Here is an 18,527-nt window from a genome sequence, read left to right as displayed (position 1 = left end):
CAGGTAAGAGTTCAGTCTTTCTAAGTCATTATATGAAAAAGATTCTTTTTTTTTTTTTTTGAGATGGAGTCTCGCTCTGTCGCCAGGCTGGAGTGCAGCAGCACGATCCCAGCTCACTGCAACCTCTGCCTCCCGGGTTCAAGTGATTCTCCTGCCTCAGCCTCCCAAGTAGCTGGGATTACAGGCGTGTGCCACTATGCCCAGCTAATTTCTGTACTTTTAATAGAGACGGGGTTTCACCATGTTGGCCAGGATGGTCTTGATCTCTTGACCTTGTGATCCACCCACCTTGGCCTCCCAAAGTGCTGGGATTACAGGAGTGAGCCACCGCTCCTGGCCGAAAAAGATTCTTGCACACACATGTTTATAGTAGCACTATTCACAATTGTAAAAATGTGGAACCAACCCAAATGCCCATCAATGAGTGGCTAAAGAAACTGTGGTATAGATATACAGTGGAATACTACTCAGTCATAAAAAGGAATGAATTAATGGCATTTGCAGCAACCTGGACGGGATTGGAGACTATTATTCTTGTTTTTTTTTTTTTTTTTGAGATAGAGTCTCACTCGGTCACCCAGGCTGGAGTGCAGTTGCGCAATCTTGGCTCACTGCAAGCTCTGCCTCCTGGGTTCACACCATTCTCCTGCCTCAGCCTCCCAAGTAGCTGAGACTACAGGCGCTTGCCACCATGCCTGGCTAATTTTTTTTTTTTTTTTTGTATTTTTAGTAGAGACCGGGTTTCACCATGTTAGCCAGGATGGTCTCGATCTCCTGACCTCGTGATCCACCCGCCTCAGCCTCCCAAAGTGCTGGGATTACAGGCGTGAGCCACCGCACCCGGCCTTTTTTTTTTTTTTTTTTTTTTTTTTACTAACCAGGGGTTTAATATAAATACAACCAGCATAGAAAGACCCAAAACTATACAGAAACCAAAACCAGAATGCCATGTGGTGGAGGCAAAGGGCATAATTCCTGACCCCTTTGGCTCAGCTGCCCTTCCCCACAAATAAAAACCAACAAACAGGACAAATCAGGACAATAAAGAAGATTCATGCTAAGCTGTGGCAGAGGGGGGAAGGTATGATCGGGTGGGGGTGGGACAAGGAATGGCCAGGGAAGATAACTGGGTCAGGTTGGACCCTGGGCTGGGAGGGGGAGGGCAAGGCCCATCACCACAACTTAAGCAAAACCTAAGCTGCCCCCAGGTGCCATAGGTCCCTGTCCCAGCAGGGAGGCTGATGGGCCTGGGCCCATGCCCCTCCCCACCTTTGGGGGTCAGATAGTGGCCACCCAGGTCTGCTGGGTTGGGGCCTGACACAGGCTGTGCATGCCCATTCGGGCTGCCTGTGGAGAGAGAATGGAGTCACTGTTTAACCATGCTACCTGCCTCAGCCCCAGCAGACCACAGGAGGTTGGCCCCAGACTCAATGAGTGCCTGCAGCAGCCGTACAGACACAGCATCCTTGGCCACCTCATGCCCATCCCGGCCATCTAGGATCAGCACAACCCAGATGAGGCCGCTGAAGGGCACCGGATGCCCAGGAATCACCACCTGGTACCAGAAGCGGTGCCAGCCAGCAGGTCCTATGCCCAAACACTTGGTGAGGAACACAGAGCTGCCCAGCTTCATTCGTTGGCACAGCAACTGCAGGGTAGCCCGAGCCCCTTGGGACCCTAACTTGTCCCTTGCCAAGGCCAACTGGCTGCCGTCTGGCTGTGGGGACCACAAGGAGGGACCCACAAGCTGCTGGCGAAGTCGCTGCTTCAGTTCTGGCTTGAGCCACTCCACAGCCACCTGCTCTCCACAGAGGTGTGGCTGCCCTTCCTCCAGGGCCTTTTTGGCCATGGCAGCGGTCCAGTGCGAGCTGAATTTGAGCAGAGCGATCTGCCCGGGCGCCGGTCCGGGGCTGGGCAGCAGCCGCGCCTCCTGCAGGCCGGGACCCAGCGGCTGCAGCGCGGGCTGCAGCGCGGTGCGGGTCAGATTCGGCGGCAGGCAGTCAACGCTCAGCTCACACTTCCCGGTGCTGCGGCACAGAAGCAGCGGGCAGGACGGCCGCAGCGGGTGGTTGTGCAGCGGGCGATGGCGGCCTGCGCGCCGCGCCGCGAGCTGCAGCGGGCATATGCGAAGCCGCGGTTCAGGCCGCTGAAGGTCATCATCAGGCGGAACTCGTAGAGGCGGCCCACGCGCTGGAACAGCAGGATAGCTGGTGCTCATACACTTCCTGAGGCAGCCGCCCGATGAACACCTCTGACCCAGCCGGCGGCGGGCTGCCCACCCAGCCTGGGGGTGGCCCGCCATACTTCCTCTGCCCGTTCACCTGCACCAGGCGATGCCTGTCTGCCTGACCCACGCCTCCAGCGCCGCCTTGTTCTCTGGCTTCACCCTCTCACACCACAGCTCACAATCCCGCGTGGACTGCATGGCTCTCTATTCTCTTTTTTTTTGAGACGTAGTTTCACTCTTGTTCTCCAGGCTGGAGTGCAATGGCAGGATCTTGGCTCACCGCAACCTCCGCCTCCCGGGTTCAAGCGATTCTCCTGCCTCAGCCTCCCAAGTAGCTGGGATTACAGGCACCCGCCACCATGCCCAGGTAATTTTTGTATTTTTAGTAGAATTTAGGAGTTTCCTAAATTCTGGGGGCTTGTCTCCCTGTTCCCCCACCCCGACTAATTTCCCTCGGTCGCTGCCACTGCCCCGTCCCTTAGGTCGCTCGGGCCGCCCCACTCCGAGACTTTTTTTTCTTTCGCTGGTTCTTTCAGCTTCAGTTTCCCTAGAGGGCGGGAGGGGAATATTTGGGGGCTCTCCTGCCTTCCTCTCCGAGCCGCGGAAGGGGAGACGCAGGGAGGAGGTCCGACCGGCTTTGGGCTCCAGCCAGGGGTCCGCGGAGACTATGGTCTCCGAAGGCCTTAGACGCGGGGCATTTCGCCAGCTGCGCGTCTCTCTCAACCGCGCCACCAAGCCCGGAGTCCAGCCGCGCCTCGCTGCGCCCAGCCCCGGCGCCCCAGGCTCTCTGCCCCCGACTCAATGCTCCCGCGCTCCCCCAAGCAGCCGCTGCGCCACCTCGCCCCGTCCCAGGCTCGTAGGCTGCTCAGCTCACGTGACCGCGCTCCGTTAACGGAAGAAACGAGATGGAGGCTGAAGGCGATCCGCAGTGGGGCCCCAGCCATTCGGATTGAGCCTTCTCCCTCCAACCGCTTCCGCAGGCCGGGCCCCTCCTGCCCTGCCCCTCTGGCCTCCCCACCCGGCCCCAGCCGCCCCCACTGCGCCCATTGCGCCCGCCCCTTCCCGGCCGCTTTCCCTTCTCCCTCCGCCTCGGCTCCAACATGAGGGGCCGGCGGGGCAGGCCGACCAAGCAGCCCGCGGCTCCCTCTGCGGAGCGCTGCGCCCCGGCCCCGCCGCCGCTGCCGCTGCCCACGTCCGGACCCATCCGGGGTTCCGCTCGCGGCAACGCGGTAGCAGCCCGGGCAGGTGGGTCGCCGCCAGGCTGAGGTGGCGCCCAAGACGCGCCTGAGCTCGCCCAGGATGGGCAGCAGTAGCCGGAGAAAGCCGCCGCCGCCGGCCCCACCCCAGCACCAGCGCCCCGGCCGGGGGGAGGCGGGGGCAGCCACCTGGCCCGGACGGCTGCGGTCTGGAGGGCTGTCAACAAAGTGGTGTAGGAGGACGCCAGTTACTGCACGGAAAGCAGCGTCAGGAGCCATAGTACCTACAGCAGCACTCCAGGTACCCACTCAGCCCAGTTGCTGCAGACTCCTTCCCCACCTTCTCTGCCCTCCCCCTTTGCTCACTCGTGTGCTGTGCATCCTGCTCCGATCTCCCCCCAACCCCGCCGACCCCCAGAGGGGAAATGCGAGGGCACATCAAGTGGCAAAAAACCAGATTTATAGGAGGAAAGAGGCGCATTGTTCAAAATGGAGATTGCATTGTTGCAGTTGGCGGGCCACACTCGCTCTCTCTTCCCGCCTCCCGCCAACCTCCTCTTTTTCCTCCTCAGAATTTGTACCAGTGTAGTGTCTCCACCGGGCAAGATTGAAACTTGGGCAAACACATATCCATTGCTTTCATTTTTTCCCCTTGTTTTGGTAGTTTTCTGGAATGAAAGAAGCCTCTTGTTTTGCAAACCTCTTTTCATTTCTAATGTGGTTCCTTTCGGATTTTTATTATATATCTGTTCCTTAAAAGGGAATTAAGGATTTGGACAGATTGTGTGCCACAATCTGTTTTCACACCCCTAGCTGTGGTTTTAAAATTATGTTAAGGAAACGGATCATTTGGGTTAGTAGGGGAACCTTATCTGGTCTTGTGTGTTTGTTTTTATTCTTCGAGTGCTAACGGGCCCGTGCAACAGTTTCTGGTAAATGGCTGATTAAAAAGCAAAGCAGAAAGCCAAACAAGACCCAACGAAATTTGGTAATTCATCTGATTCAAAATTGTTTTGGTTAAATCAAAAATTTACAAGACCGCAGGAACACGCGTCTTAACTCATTTGATCGCTTTGCCTTGCTTGGGAAATGCAGGTTCGTGTCACCTGTTGCAGAAGATGTGTAGTTGATCATCTAGGCATAAGTGCCTAAGATGAACTTTTGGACCAACTTCTAAGTCACACAGCGTCAGTATCAGATTTATTACACAACGACTTATTCTTTTCACTCTATTTCTGAGGAAAAAGCCCTCCCGAAATCCGTAATGAATTTCTCCATGGTAACCCCTCTTCTGTTTACACACAGAAAAGTTTCTCTAGGCTGGTGCTGAGATGCATTTTGTTAACCGCCCCGCCCCGCCCCGCCCCGCCCAAAGGCTGCTTTGTATTAAATACGTAGTTGCAGTGTACTAAATTGTGAAATTAACATAACCGAAGCAACAACCGGCAAGACTTGTCCTTTATAATTTTGCAAATCTAAATTAATTAAATTAGAATCTGGTTTTAAAATCATTTTTAAAATAAAGTTTATGAGGAAGTATTTGTGAGGAAAAAGGACCCTTTTTTCCTTGAAGTGAGGTGTGTCCTGTCTTTCTCAGAGAGACTAGGGTAGTAGAAGTGGTTAAATTGAAAAGTTTCTGTTTTTTAATAAATGCTTAAATACTTATTGGAGAAGTAGGGTAGTATTATATTAAGCCAAATGTAAACCCACGTAGGTTGTCCTAACATAAACTGAAAAAAGGTAATTTCTTTTGCCCGATGGTCAGAATCCTCGCCAGACTTGCCCTGGGAGGCTGGCTGGAGAATGAAGGGAATGAATCAAATGTCAGATATTTATGTCTTATATGTAAAAAGGAGTACATGTAAATTCTTGCCAACTTAATTTTAGTGCTTTTTTTTTTTTTTTTAAAGGAGTCTTGCTCTGTCGCCTAGGCTGGAGTGCAATGGCGCAATCTTGGCTCACTGCAACCTTCACCTCCCGGACTCAAGTGATTCTCCTGCCTCAGGCTCCCCAGCAGCTGGGATTACAGGCGCCCACCAGCACGCCTGGCTAATGTTTGTATTTTTAGTAGAGATGGGGTTTCACCATGTTGGCCAGGCTGGTCTCGAACTCCTGACCTCATGATCCGCCCACCTCAGCTTCCCAAAGTGCTGGGACTAAAGGCGTGAGCCACCGTGCCTGGGCTAGTACATCTTTTATAGTAATAATTTTTACCTTAAGAAATCACATGTTGGTCTTTGTACCCAGAGCCGGTAATTGAAACATGGAGACTGGATTGCATACACCCCTGGAGGAAGTTTTTTCTGGTTAGACAGAGCTGAGACATTTTGGCAGGGCAGTTCAGCTAACTTTAAGTCGTATTTGAAGGCCTAGCAAATAATATTTAGGATTGATGGCTGTGCATATGCTGACTTAAATTACAATTTGTAGCTAGGTGTTCTTTAAAAAAATGTGTTTACTTTTGATACTTTTGTGACATTTTGTTTTTCTTTTTTTGAGAAGGAGTTTTGCTTTTGGTGCCCAGGCTGGAGTGCAATGGTAGAATCTCGATCTTGGCTCAATGCAACCTCTGCCTCCCAAGTTCAAGCAATTCTCCTGCCTCAGCCTCCCAAGTAGCTGAGATTACAGGCATGCACCACCACGCCTGGCTAATTTTGTATTTTTAGTAGAGACGGGGTTTCTCCACGTTGGTCAGGCTGGTCTCAAACTCCCGACCTCAGGCGATCCGTCTGCCTCAGCCTACCAAGGTGCTGGGCCTACAAGCGTGAGCCACCATGCCTGGCCTGAGATTTTGTTTTTCTTAATGACACCTGTAGCCTACTGTGTGTCTACTTGTCCTATCCTTATATGAAATTATTAACTCTGTAGAGATAGGTATTGAGCGTATTCCCTCTGCAGCTCCTGTAAGTGTTTTGCACATAGCAAGTGCTCATCAAAGATTGGTTGGATAAATTATTGTTAGTAGATGAGAACTTGTAGTACATGAAGTTTCGATAATTCTACAGTGGGTGTCATAACCCCTAAATATTTTGGATTTAGGAAACTAAAAATTGTCCTAATTGGTTTTTTGTTGTTGTTGTTCTTTTCTAATTGGATTTTGATGGACAATTTGATCAGTGAATGTCTCGCTCTGTTGCCCAGGGAGGAGTGCAATGGCACGCACGATCTTGGCTCACCACAACCTCCACCTCCCGGGTTCAAGCAATTCTCCTGCCTCAGCCTCCTGAGTAGTTGGGACTACAGGTGCACGCTGCCACACCCAGCTAATTTTTTGTATTTTAGTAGAGATGGGGTTTCACCATGTTGCCCACACTGTTCTTGAACTCCTGAACTCAGGCAATCCGCCCGCCTCAGCCTCCCAAAGTGCTAGGATTACAGGCATGAGCCACCTGGCCTGGCCCAGTGAATGTTTTTCATTGCAAGAGTTACTTTGTTTTTGAGTTGCTATTTCATATTGCTTGCCAGGCGTTTTCCTTTATTGGCTGTGATGTTAATTTGGATGTTTTACCTTTTGCAAAGCATTATTTCTTAAGATTATGGTAAAATGGATGTGACTTTTTTTTTTCCTTATTTCTTCTAAAAACAAAATGGAGTACATGTGCAGAACGTGCAGGTTTGTTGCATAGGTATACGTGTGCCATGGTGGATTGCTGCACCTATTGACCCACTCTTTAAGTTCCCTCCCCTCGCCCCCCACCCCCCGGATGTGAGTGACATTTTGAGTTCCAAACTTTTAGAACATGCCCACTTGCCTCGAATGAGTAACAACGCGTGACAGTGAGTTGTTTAGGCTAAGTACTAGTTTCATTGGTTTTATAGTCTGTACTTCCTGGGTGGAAGGCTGTCAGGTAAATGTGTAGATGGAAGAAAAAAATTTTAGAACTGGTTTAAGATATCTGAATAACACACAAAGAAGTATGATTGATGAATTTGAATCCTGTTGTACTGCAAAGGCTGAAAGAGGAATTTACTTTATTGGTAATTTAGAGTAATTTGATTAATTTTTATAGTTTACAGCGTTGGCTTAATTACTGACATGTGACATTCCTAACATAAGAAATAACTCCTAATATAAGAAATAACTCAGTATTTTGTAGGTTATATAACAATGCAGAGGCATTAATTGATATTACTAAAGTCATGAAAGGTTTATTTATTGAAGATTGTTTTCCTTTTATGGAAAAAATGTAAGGATGACAACTTTTTAGTATAAAATTGCAACCACCTAGTTTTGCTTTAGCCGAAAGCATATGGCTGAATAATGCTTTAATTTATTTTTACTTTTTAAATTTAGAATTACTTCAGCCTATAGATTTTATGACATTGCCGATATAATGAGAAGGATTATATAGGAAGTGTTTTCAATAGGCATTTGGTAAAGTTCTGACAGCACTTTGAAATTAAGCATTTGCTAATTTTAAGAAATTGTATGTAAAACAGAATGGTTCTTGTGTTTCAGTCTCAGTCTTATGTGAGACTTCTGAGAATACTTACCTGGAATTTTAAAACTTGGAACCTCTGATGACTTCATAAAACAAAAGCCCTGGTGTTATCCTGGGACAGTTAGTGATTTATGTCCTCTAAGGATTGTGACAGTGGAGATCAGTGGCAGAGATGCCATCAATGAACCATAGATTTACCTCAAACAGAATTTGTCACTGGTTTGACAATATTATTCCCACCAGTGTCAACTTAATATCTTTTCAGTATAATTTCTGATCGTTACAAGTGAGGTACAAAGTGCAGTGGGCATTTAAAGGAGGGTGAGATTATATACCCTGTTTAAGGGGATTGGTGTGGGTGTAGGCTTCCTGGATGGGCATGTGGAGAGTAAGGACAGGCAGATTGAGGGAGGGAGGGGGAGAGAGCGGGAGGGAGCGGCAGGCACTGATAGTAAAGTGTGGGCAGTCTCAAGTAACTCGGTGTAACAAGAGCCTGAGTGTGTGAATAGGAAATTAATCAAAACTCCCTTGTATGTTGTGTTGGGCAGTACTTAGAGGATCAGGCTATAGCAACTGTACTTTCCCCCTCTTCTGTAGAATAGGGATTGGGCTGGATCGTGATCCTCAGGCCTTTTTCACTCCTGACACCCCGAGAAGATATGCTGTATTCCCAGCAGCACCATGCATAAACATGAAACAGAACCACATCAAATTACAGAGATGCTGTTGAACCACTGGTGTAGCCCTCTCTCTCAAATCTGTTTCGAATCTGTTTAATTTTGGGTATTGGGATGATCAGAAGATCTTGAAGCATAGCTTCTGTTCTGCAGGATGGATTGACAAGGACAAGATAGCTGGTGGGTTTTGTAGTCCTAAATGGAAGATCAGTCCAGGAGGTACTCTAGAGTTCTTCTGGCCTTGACACATAGAATGTAGAGAGAGGAATGCATCACCTACACCTCCCTAAGAATGGTAGTACTTTCAGTAACAATAGGGAGGTCAAGATTATAAGGGAAATTAATGACATCTGTTTTCAGGTATCAGTACCTCAAGAGATTAAACATGATAATTAAAGTGAGAGCCAAAAGGGTTTTGAAAAAGTTGGGCAACATGATTTGTGAGTAGTGGAGAGGCATGTCCTAGTTACGCAGTGATAAATAGTCTTGCATACAGTTCGTGCTGTTCAATTCTGCTCACCCATGGGCATGTTTGGAAGTTTGTGTTGAAACATGCATATAACAGGACTGGGGATGTTAAGACCAGGAGCTCTGGTCTCTTCTGTTAGGTCCTCCTTTCCTCAGTCCTCAAGACCCTGTGTCTTCCCTTTGACTAAAGACCCTTAATGATGGAGACATGGGGGTGAGAGAGTGGTAGTCATGGTGAGCAAGTGGTAATCTGGGTGACACAGGAACAAATCCTAGCTGATGCCCTTTTCCCTTCCTGCTCCTTAGCCAGGCTCGAATCCCTCTTCCTGGGAGATCTTCCTTGAGTCCTGTTGCGCACCTTGTTCTTCCTTCTCTTTGAGTGCCTGTTGACAGTGGTTATGATCTCAGCACTAGCTTAACACTGACACTAATTATTCTATTTTTTTTTTCTTTTGAGATGGAGTCTCACTCTGTCGCCCAGGCTAGAGTGCAGTGACACAATCTCAGCTCACTGCAACCTCCACCTCCTGGGTTCAAGCTATTCTCCTGCCTCAGCCTTCTGAGTGGCTGGGACTACAGGCGCCCACCACCACACCCGGCTAATGTTTGTACTTTTTAATAGAGACAGGGTTTTACTGTGTTGGCCAGGCTGGTCTTGAACTCCTGACCTCGTGATCCACCTGCCTCGGCTTCCCAAAGTGCTGGGATTACAGGCCTGAGCCAACACACCCGGCCTCTAGTTTTTTTCATGCTTTTGGTTCTTTAACATAAGCATCAGGAGGCAGCATGTTTCTTAACTTAAAAAAAAATTATACATTAAAATACACTTTAAAAGATCGAAAGTGACCATATAGAAAGAATTAAAATGCGTGTAAATATAATGTTTCAATTGTTTTGTCTGCTGGTATATATCTACAATTTTTATGTTTTTCTTGATAGTTATATTCAAATATTATTTTGAGAGTGTCACATTTTAAAAATAGCGACAGTAATAGTTAACATTTATTGAACATCTTTTAAATTGCAGAATGATTTTCAAGCAATATTTATGAAAATTCAGTTTTTAAAAGGTAACAGCTTTATGGAGATATAATTTACATACTGTAAAATGTACCCTTGTAAAGTATGCAATTTAGTGGTTTTTTTTAGTGTATTGACAGAGTTGTGCAACCATTAACACTACCTAATTCCAGCTTGTTTTTACGCCCCTGCAAAAGAAGCCCATGCCTATGGCGTCACTCCCTGTTCTTCACCTCCCTCCTGCTCTCCCCTGGCAGCCAGTAATTACGTTCATTTGCTGTTGATTTGCCTCTTACGGACATTTCTTATTAAGTGGAATCATATAATGTATGGCTTCTGTCATTTAGCCTACTGTTTTTAAGGTTTATGCATATCTTAGCATGTATCAGTACTATATTTGAATAACACTTCATTGTATGGCTGTACCACTTTTTTTTTTTTAAATGGAGACAGGGTCTTGCAATGTTGCCCAGGCTGACCTGAAACTCCTGGGCTCAGGCTTCCTGCCTCAGCCTTCCAGCCTCCAGAGTAGCTAGAGTTACAGGCACACACCTCTGTGCCCAGAGACCATGTTTTGCTTATCCATTTCGTAAGTTCATGGACATTTGAACTGTTTCCACTTTTTGGCTATTATGAATAATGCTGCTGAGCACATTCGTGTACATGTTTTTATCTATACATATATTTTCATTTCTCTTAGGTATATAAATAGGATTATTTGCTGGATTATTGCAAATTCAATTTTAATTTCTTTTCTTTTCTTTTTTTTTTTGACACAGAGTCTCACTCTGTCGCCCAGGCTGGAGTACAGTGGCATGACCTTGGCTCACTGCAACCTCTTCCTCGGTTCAAGTGGCCAGGCTGGTCTTGAACTTCTGACCTCAAGTGATCCACCCGCCTTGGCCTCCCAAAGTGCTGGGATTACAGGTGTGAGCCACAGCACCTGGCAGAAAATAATTCAGGCATTAGAATGAATCCTGAATGAGATAGATTGGTTAGGCTGGGATGTGGTGAGCGGGAGGAAAGGAGTCAAGGATGAACTGACTTCTAAATCTCCTGTTTGAAATGCTTGTTCCCCGGTGCCGTGAAGAAACAGCACTTGAACATAAATTTAGTTTACTTAGTAAGGCCATTTTTACTTCCTGCAGAAAGGGTACACTCACGGGCAGTTTTGCCATGAGAGTACACCCAACAAAGGAGATAGGGTCATTTATAACCTGACGCATCTACCTTACTGCTGTTTCCGGTTTCCTTTGGCTGGAACGGGACCTCACATTCTGTATTTGTCCCGATTGGTTAGTAACTTAGAACTTTTTAAAAGAGGCAAAGGTAGAGGGGAACAAAGGAAGGAGGAAGTAACTTGTGGAATGTTGAGAAAGGTAAAAACACTTTTAAATAAGGAAGAGGAACAGGCTATGACCTAATGCTTGCTTGGACCAGCCTAAGCGTGCCAGGGCAAATATTTAGGCTAAATTGTGGGAGCTAAGAACATAAAGTACATTGATTTCTTTATTATGGCTAGCAGATATTTAAGAATGTTAGCACAGGTCTTTGAATAAATTTTGCTTCTAAGAGAAGTTACTATTTATTCTTAATTAGAGAGGAAAGTCTTGAAGAGGAACCTCTACTTTACTTTTTACATCCCCCTTATTTCTCTTTTCCTTGTTCACTCCTTATTTCTTCTCTTCATCTCAAATTGATCTAGTAATACTTATTTCTTCGTAGTTCTCACAGACCCACCTCCTAGTCACCCATCCATCACCCTCTCCAGCCTGCCTTCTCTGATCACCATTCCCTTTACCCCCAGTTGGGGCTGAGTTCCTTTGTTTCCCACCCCCTTAACCTCCAGGACCTCGTGCATTAATTGTTTTAGCCAAATATTTGGGGATTTTTTTTTTTAGGTATCTTTCAGTTACTGGTTTCTAATTTAATTTCATTTTGTTCAGAGAGCATACTTTGTATGACTTTAATTTTGTAAAACATTTTTAGAGGTTTTGCACCCCAAAATTTTGTCAGTCTAAGTGAATATTCCATATGTACTTGAAAAGAATTTTGTATTCTGCTCTTGTCGGGTGGAGTATTGCATAAATATCAATTACGTCAAGTTTGTTGATAGTGTTATTAAGATCTGTCTGACTTTCTACTTGTTTTGTTGATTACTGAGGGAAGTGTTGAAGTCTACAGCTATTGTGAAGGATTTGTCTGTTTCTCCTTGAAGTTCTAGCAATCTTCACGTATTTTGAGGCTCTGCATCTATGTATTTTGAGGCTCCTTCCTAAAGTCCATAAACCTTTAGGAAGGATTGTTTTATCCTCTTAATTATTTAACCCCTTTATCTATATCTATATCTGTTAAGAGGTGGAACTGAAATGGCCTTTTAATGATCTGGCCCTTCCTTCATTACAACCTACTTTGGGCAGGGAAAGTCCCATTCAGTCTCTGGAGTGCCTGGTTAAATCTCTTGAATGCAGTAGGCAGCACAGGTAATTGTGGAACTGAATGTTGAGTCAAATAAAGCCTGTGGGTTGTTTTCATCCTCTGTACTGTCCAGTATGGTAGCTACTAGCCACATGTGGAGAGTTAAATTAATTAAAACTAAGTAGGCCAGGTGTGGTGGCTCACACCTGTAGTCTCAATACTTTGGGAGGCTGAGGTGGGAAATCACTTGAGGCATCAGTTAAAGACCAGCCTGAGCAACAGGGTTTTGTAAAAACCCTGTCTTCACAAAAGAATTAAAATAGTTGGGCATAGGATGGCATGCCTGTAGTTCTACCTGCTTGGGAGGCTGAGGTGGGAGGATTGCTTGAGCCCAGGAGTTTGAGGCTCTAGTCAGCTATGGACTGTGCCACCACACTCCAGACTGGGTGACAGAGTGAGAACCCATCTCTTAAAAAAAAAATTAAGTAAAATGAAAACTTCAGTTTCTCCAGTGGCACTAGCTGTTATACATTCATTTCAAGTGCTCTGTAGCCACGTGTATTGCACCACACAAAGGTAGAGCATTTGGGGCATTTCATATCATTACAGAAAGTTCTCCTGGACTCACTGTAGTCAGTCTGCCTCTGTTAGACCAGTGAGAATTTACCTAACATCTCCTTTTCTAGCCTTTTATTTGCCCTAAATCCTGCACAGCTTGGGTAGCCCCAGCGGTCTGGCTGAGTGAGGTCCTCCTTTGTGGAGACTCTGGGCCCAGCATTATTTGTGTATGTGATGGTATTGCATTTCTGCAATAAGATTTGGGGTCATGTGTGAGATGACTTTCCATTATTTGTTGTTCTTGGTGGTAGGGTGAAGAGGCAGTCAGTTAACACATAGTTAGAAAATCTGCCACAGTCCTGGTAAAAGTAAGCTAAGAGTCATATATGTAGGCCAGAAGGGAAGGAAGGATTAGGATTCAGAGACTTTTGGTTGAGAAATTAAATTTGATAACTCAGAGAATTTCAGTGTTATAAAAGTGTAAATATTGATATGCAAACTGAATTGTGAGATGTTAGTATGTCGTAGTGTGTCTGGGTTCTCCTATATAAAACCTCTTACGCAGGAGTCACTGGCCAAATTATTTGTCTGTGGAACCCCCCTGAGATTTGCTAAGAAAGTTATGCTTAGACTCCTCTCTACTCATGGATATGTTCTGTAATTCCCACACTTGGGAAACGGCTTGGCCATGTGATTCATACCAAATGGCAACATTCAGTAGGTGCAGTTTATATGATTTACTAGAAATAATGGCTTCTTGCTCAATTTCACTATGTTCATAGTGCCTCTTTTGAGGTCTGTGTGTATATTCTATTTATGGAAGTTAAAAAGTATTTCAGAAATGCATATATTAATCTGTGTGGAATTTCTCTTATCCTTTTTCCTCTCTAATTCTTGCTTGGATATTTGTCTCAAGAGATGGTCCAACATTTAAAATAGCGAATAATATCTTAGCCCATCCAAAAACAATCCTTCCTAAAGGTTTATGAACTTAATAACAGAGCCTCAAAATACATGAGGACTCATAGAACTCCAAGGAGAAACAGACACATCCTTAACAATATTGTAGACTTCAACACTCTTCTCACAGTAATCAAGAGAACAACTAGAAAGAAAGTGCAGTTTTCCCTGTTTTTGTAGACATGAAAACTATTTCACACACTTCTGAAAGTCTCATTCAGTAAGTTACTCATTTCTCCACCTTATGACTGTACTGTGCTTTCAAAGTGCTGCACAAAGAATAAAAAGTTTTAAAGTGGCTTTACTGTAATTTCAGATAAATATTTGAACTTTTGAGTCTGAATTATCCAGGTGAAATGCATTGGATTTCTGATCCTCTGTAACTTGGAAGATTACCGTCTTCCAGGTATATTGGTTGTCCTTAACTGCCTTAATGGCATGAGTTGTGAATCTTCTCTGTCTCGGAAGAAACCTAACAGTGGAAATTGTTTATGGCAAGGGTCACAAATTTACATGCGCAGAAGGTCAGGACCCTCTGTAAGGTAAAGGCATGAAGTGCCCCCTTCTTTATTAACACATAACTGCATTTGCTGATAATATTTATTTGCCTAGAATTCAGGCCCTTTTTGCTTTTACAGACAGTGCTGTCTTAAATATGCTAGAGATGTATCTTTAGTCACTTAAGCTGGTGTTTCTGTAGGGTAGGTTCCTAGGAGTGGGATTGGATTGTTGGGTTACAGTGTGTGCTATTTAAAAGACTGAACCAGATTATACTCTCAGCATCTGTTTGTTTTTAAACCTTCCCTAGTCTGTGCTTATGTGTTTTGTTTGCTTGTTTGTTTTTTGTTTGTTTGTTTGTTTTTTGAGATGGAGTCTCCCTCTGTCACCCAGGCGGGAATACAGTGGTGTGATCTCGGCTCACTGCAACCTCCACCTCCCTGGTTCAAGCAGTTCTCCTGCCTCAGCCTTTCAGGTAGCTGGGATTACAGTCACATGCCACCATACCCGGCTTATTTTTTTGTATTTTTAGTAGAGACAGGGTTTCACCATGTTGGCCAGACTGGTCTCAAACTCCTGACCTCAGGCAATCCGCCCGCCTGGGCCTCCCAAAGTGCTGGGATTACAGGCGTGAGCCACTGCGCCTGGCCTGTGTGGTTTTTAAATTAACTTTTTCTAGTCTACTAAGGTTTACTCAGACCTTTAGCAGTTGTTCTTGGATACTGACTAGGCCCAAAGTCCTCTTCTCATCAATATATTGGCAAATACACTCACTTGCGATGTGATATGAGACCCTGAGGTTTACCTCCCAAACAGCAGGATGTCTGTTTTGAGAGTTTCCTGGCCAAGTGGTGGAAAGTACCATGGAAATGGAGTCTTCCTTGCTTCTTACTTAACTTGAGTTTGGACCATAGAGAAGTCATTCTTGTGTGGACCTCAGTTTACTCACCTGTACAGTATAGGATGGACTAGATGATCTAATGGTCAGGGGATTGGCAAACTTGTTCTTAGGGCACCAATTAGTAAATATTTTAGGTTTTGCAGGCCACCTGGCTATGTCACAGCTGCTCAGCTCGGCCCTTGTAGGATGAAAGCAGCCATAGACAATAAGTAAACAAATGAGTGTGGCTGTGTTCCAGTAAAACTTTATTTCCAAAAACAGGCTGTGGCCGGCCATAGTTTGTTCACCCCATTTTTGAGCTCTTGACATTCTTTAGTCTGTGATTTCGATAATTAGTTTAGGAAAAAAGCTTTGACTTTCATAAATAATGCTTCTGGAAATCTAGTAAAACCTTTAAATTTTGGCCAGGCGTGGTGGCTCACACCTGTAATCCCAGCACTTTGGGAGGCCAAGGCGGGTGGATTGCCTGAGCTCGAGAGTTCGAGACCAGCCTGGCCAACATGGTGAAACCCCGTCTCTACTAAAAATACAAAAAATTAGCCGGGCGTGGTGGTAGGTGCCTGTAGTCCCAGCTACTTGGGAGGCTGAGGCAGGAGAATCGCTTAAACTCAGGAGGCGGAGGTTGCAGTGAGCCGATATCGTGCCACTGCACTTCAGCCTGGGTGACAGAGTGAGACTTCATCTCAAAAAAAAAAAAAAAAAAACCTTTACATTTTATTTTTGCTTTTTCCCTTTATCAGGAAAGTAATGTAGAAAATTTAGAAAACCCAGAACATTAATATTTTGGTTCCTCTCATTAGTTAACCATCTTTGGGTGGACATGTGTACATACATACATACCTTTTTTTTTTTCTTTTGAGCAAAAAAGTACATACTTTTTCTTTTTTTCTCTTCTGCCACCCAGGCTGGAGTGCAGTGGCGCGATCTCGGCTCACTGCAACCTCCACCTCCCAGGTTCAAGCGATTCTCCTGCCTCAGCCTCCTGAGTAGCTGGGACTACAGGTGCTCGCTGCCACACCCAGCTAATTTTTTGTATTTTTTAATAGAGATGGAGTTTCACCGTGTTGCCCAGGCTGGTGTCGAACTCCTGAGCTCAGGTGATTCGCCCGCCTCAGCTTCCCAAAGTGTTGGGATTATAGGCGTGAGCCACCGCACCTGGCACATGTATATGTACGTACTTTTTACAAAATTGGATGAAGTATAATTTATTTGCTAAATATTTTCACTTATGCCATGATATCTTATTTAATCTTTAATTTGTCTATGAAAATACCTGCTCTGCTAGGGGACTTCTAGTTGAAAACTCATTAATTTAAAAAATTAATTTTGAATTCAGCCACCTATTCTTTTTTCTAATTGTTTCTTGTAGCTTTTGCTTTGATTGGAATAACTTTATTCTAGGAATAAAGTTGTGTCATCTGCAAACATGAATCATGTACACATCTGATTTTCTTATATTTATATCTCCTTTTTCTCTTCAAATTACATTGCCTTTACCATTGATGGGAACCTGGGTAATAAAGAAAAAAGAAAAAAATTGCATTCCCTACCACCTCCTCCAAAACAATGTCAAATGTTAGTTATAATGATAGGCATCTTAGTATGCTATCCCAATTTAATGGAACTGATGCAGATATTTAATGGTTAACTGTTGGTTTGAGACCTTTAGTGTGTTGAGTATATTCACCTATTTCAATTTTTTTTCTGTTTAAGTTTTTTTTTTTTAAATCAGATATGGCTATTATATTTTGTTAAATGACACCTGAGCATCTTTTGAGATGATCATATAGTTTTCGTCCTGCATGCTACATATTAATTACAGTAGTGTATATTCATAGAATTATATTACTAGATGTTATATTGATTCACCCTTACATTCTTGCAGTGAACCTCTCTTAATCATATTATTTTTTCATGTACTGTTTGACTTTATTTATTTAGTTTTGAGACAGAGTTTCGCTCTTGTTGCCCAGGGTGGAGTGCAGTGGCGCGATCTCAGCTCACCACAACCTCCGCTTCCCAGGTTCAAGCGATTCTCCTGTCTCAGCCTCCTGAGTGGCTGGGATTACAGGCGCCCGCCACTACGCCTGGCTAATTTTTGGTATTTTTAGTAGAGACAGGGTTTCACCATGTTGGCCAGGCTGGTCTTGAACTCCTGACCTCAGGTAATCCGCCAGCCTCGGCCTCCCATAGTGCCGGGATTACAGGTGTGAGCCATCGCGCCCGGCCTGTTTGACTTTTAAAAAGGTATTTTAATTTTTTAGTTTATACGTGTACAGTGCATAATGTATTTAAGATTCATCTATGTTGTTGTATCAGTAGTTTTTTTATTGCTGAGTAGCAGTCCCTTATATGAGTGTATCACAGTGCATTTATCTGTTCAATAGTTGAATATTTCAATTATTTCTAGTTTGTGGCAGCTATGAATAAAGCTGCCGTAAACATTTCCATAATGTTTTTTGTCTGAACACAATTCTTGTTTCTCTTGAGTAAATACCTAGGAGTATGATTTCTGGGTTGTATGTTTATAAGAAACTGCCAAAACTGTTTTCCAAAGTAGCTGTACCATTTTGCATTCTTACCTGCAAATGTATGAAGAGTTCCGGTTGCCCTGTATCCTCCCTAGCACTTGATATTGTCAGGTTTTGTTTTTGTTTTTGTTTTTGTTTTTTTGAGATGGAGTCTGGCTCTGTCACCCAGGCTGGAGCGCGATCTCGGCTCACTGCAAGCTCCGCCTCCCGGGTTCACGCCATTCTCCTGCCTCAGCCTCCTGTGTAGCTGGGACTACAGGTGCCCGCCACCACGCCCGGCTAATTTTTTTGTATATTTAGTAGAGACGGGGTTTCACCATGTTAGCGAGGATGGTCTCGATATGCTGACCTCGTGATCCGCCCGCCTCGGCCTTCCAAAGTGCTGGGATTACAGACGTGAGCCACCGCGCCCGGCCTCAAGTTTTTTTTTTTTTTTTTTTGCCACCTTAATAAGTATATGGTGGTAGCTTCTTCTGGTTTTAATTTCCTTGTCCCTAATGACTAATGGTTCTGAGCCTCTTTTTATGTGCATCTTTTGATTTGCCATCTGTATATCATTGTTTATGGAAAAATACTAAAATCTTTTTTTTTTTTTTTTGAGACAGAGTCTTGCTCTGTTGCCCAGGCTGGA

At 44.8% G+C, this 18,527-nt stretch overlaps 1 pseudogene, besides 1 other annotated feature; it reads right to left on the bottom strand.

The window, feature by feature from the left end:
- DND1P1 (DND microRNA-mediated repression inhibitor 1 pseudogene 1) lies at window positions 872–2,432 on the bottom strand (annotated as a pseudogene).
- Window positions 3,001–3,945: an enhancer, noted in NCBI's record as "NANOG-H3K27ac-H3K4me1 hESC enhancer chr17:43661717-43662661 (GRCh37/hg19 assembly coordinates)". NCBI's record gives its function as "activates a minimal SCP1, AML or CMV promoter by ChIP-STARR-seq in primed H9 embryonic stem cells {active_cell/tissue: H9 hESC(primed)}" and the evidence as "EXISTENCE:reporter gene assay evidence [ECO:0000049][PMID:30033119]".

The sequence above is a fragment of the Homo sapiens genome, chromosome 17 (genome assembly GCF_000001405.40).
Source record: "Homo sapiens chromosome 17, GRCh38.p14 Primary Assembly".
Classification (NCBI taxonomy): Eukaryota; Metazoa; Chordata; class Mammalia; order Primates; family Hominidae; genus Homo; species Homo sapiens.
This window is presented reverse-complemented; position numbering and strand designations above follow the sequence as displayed.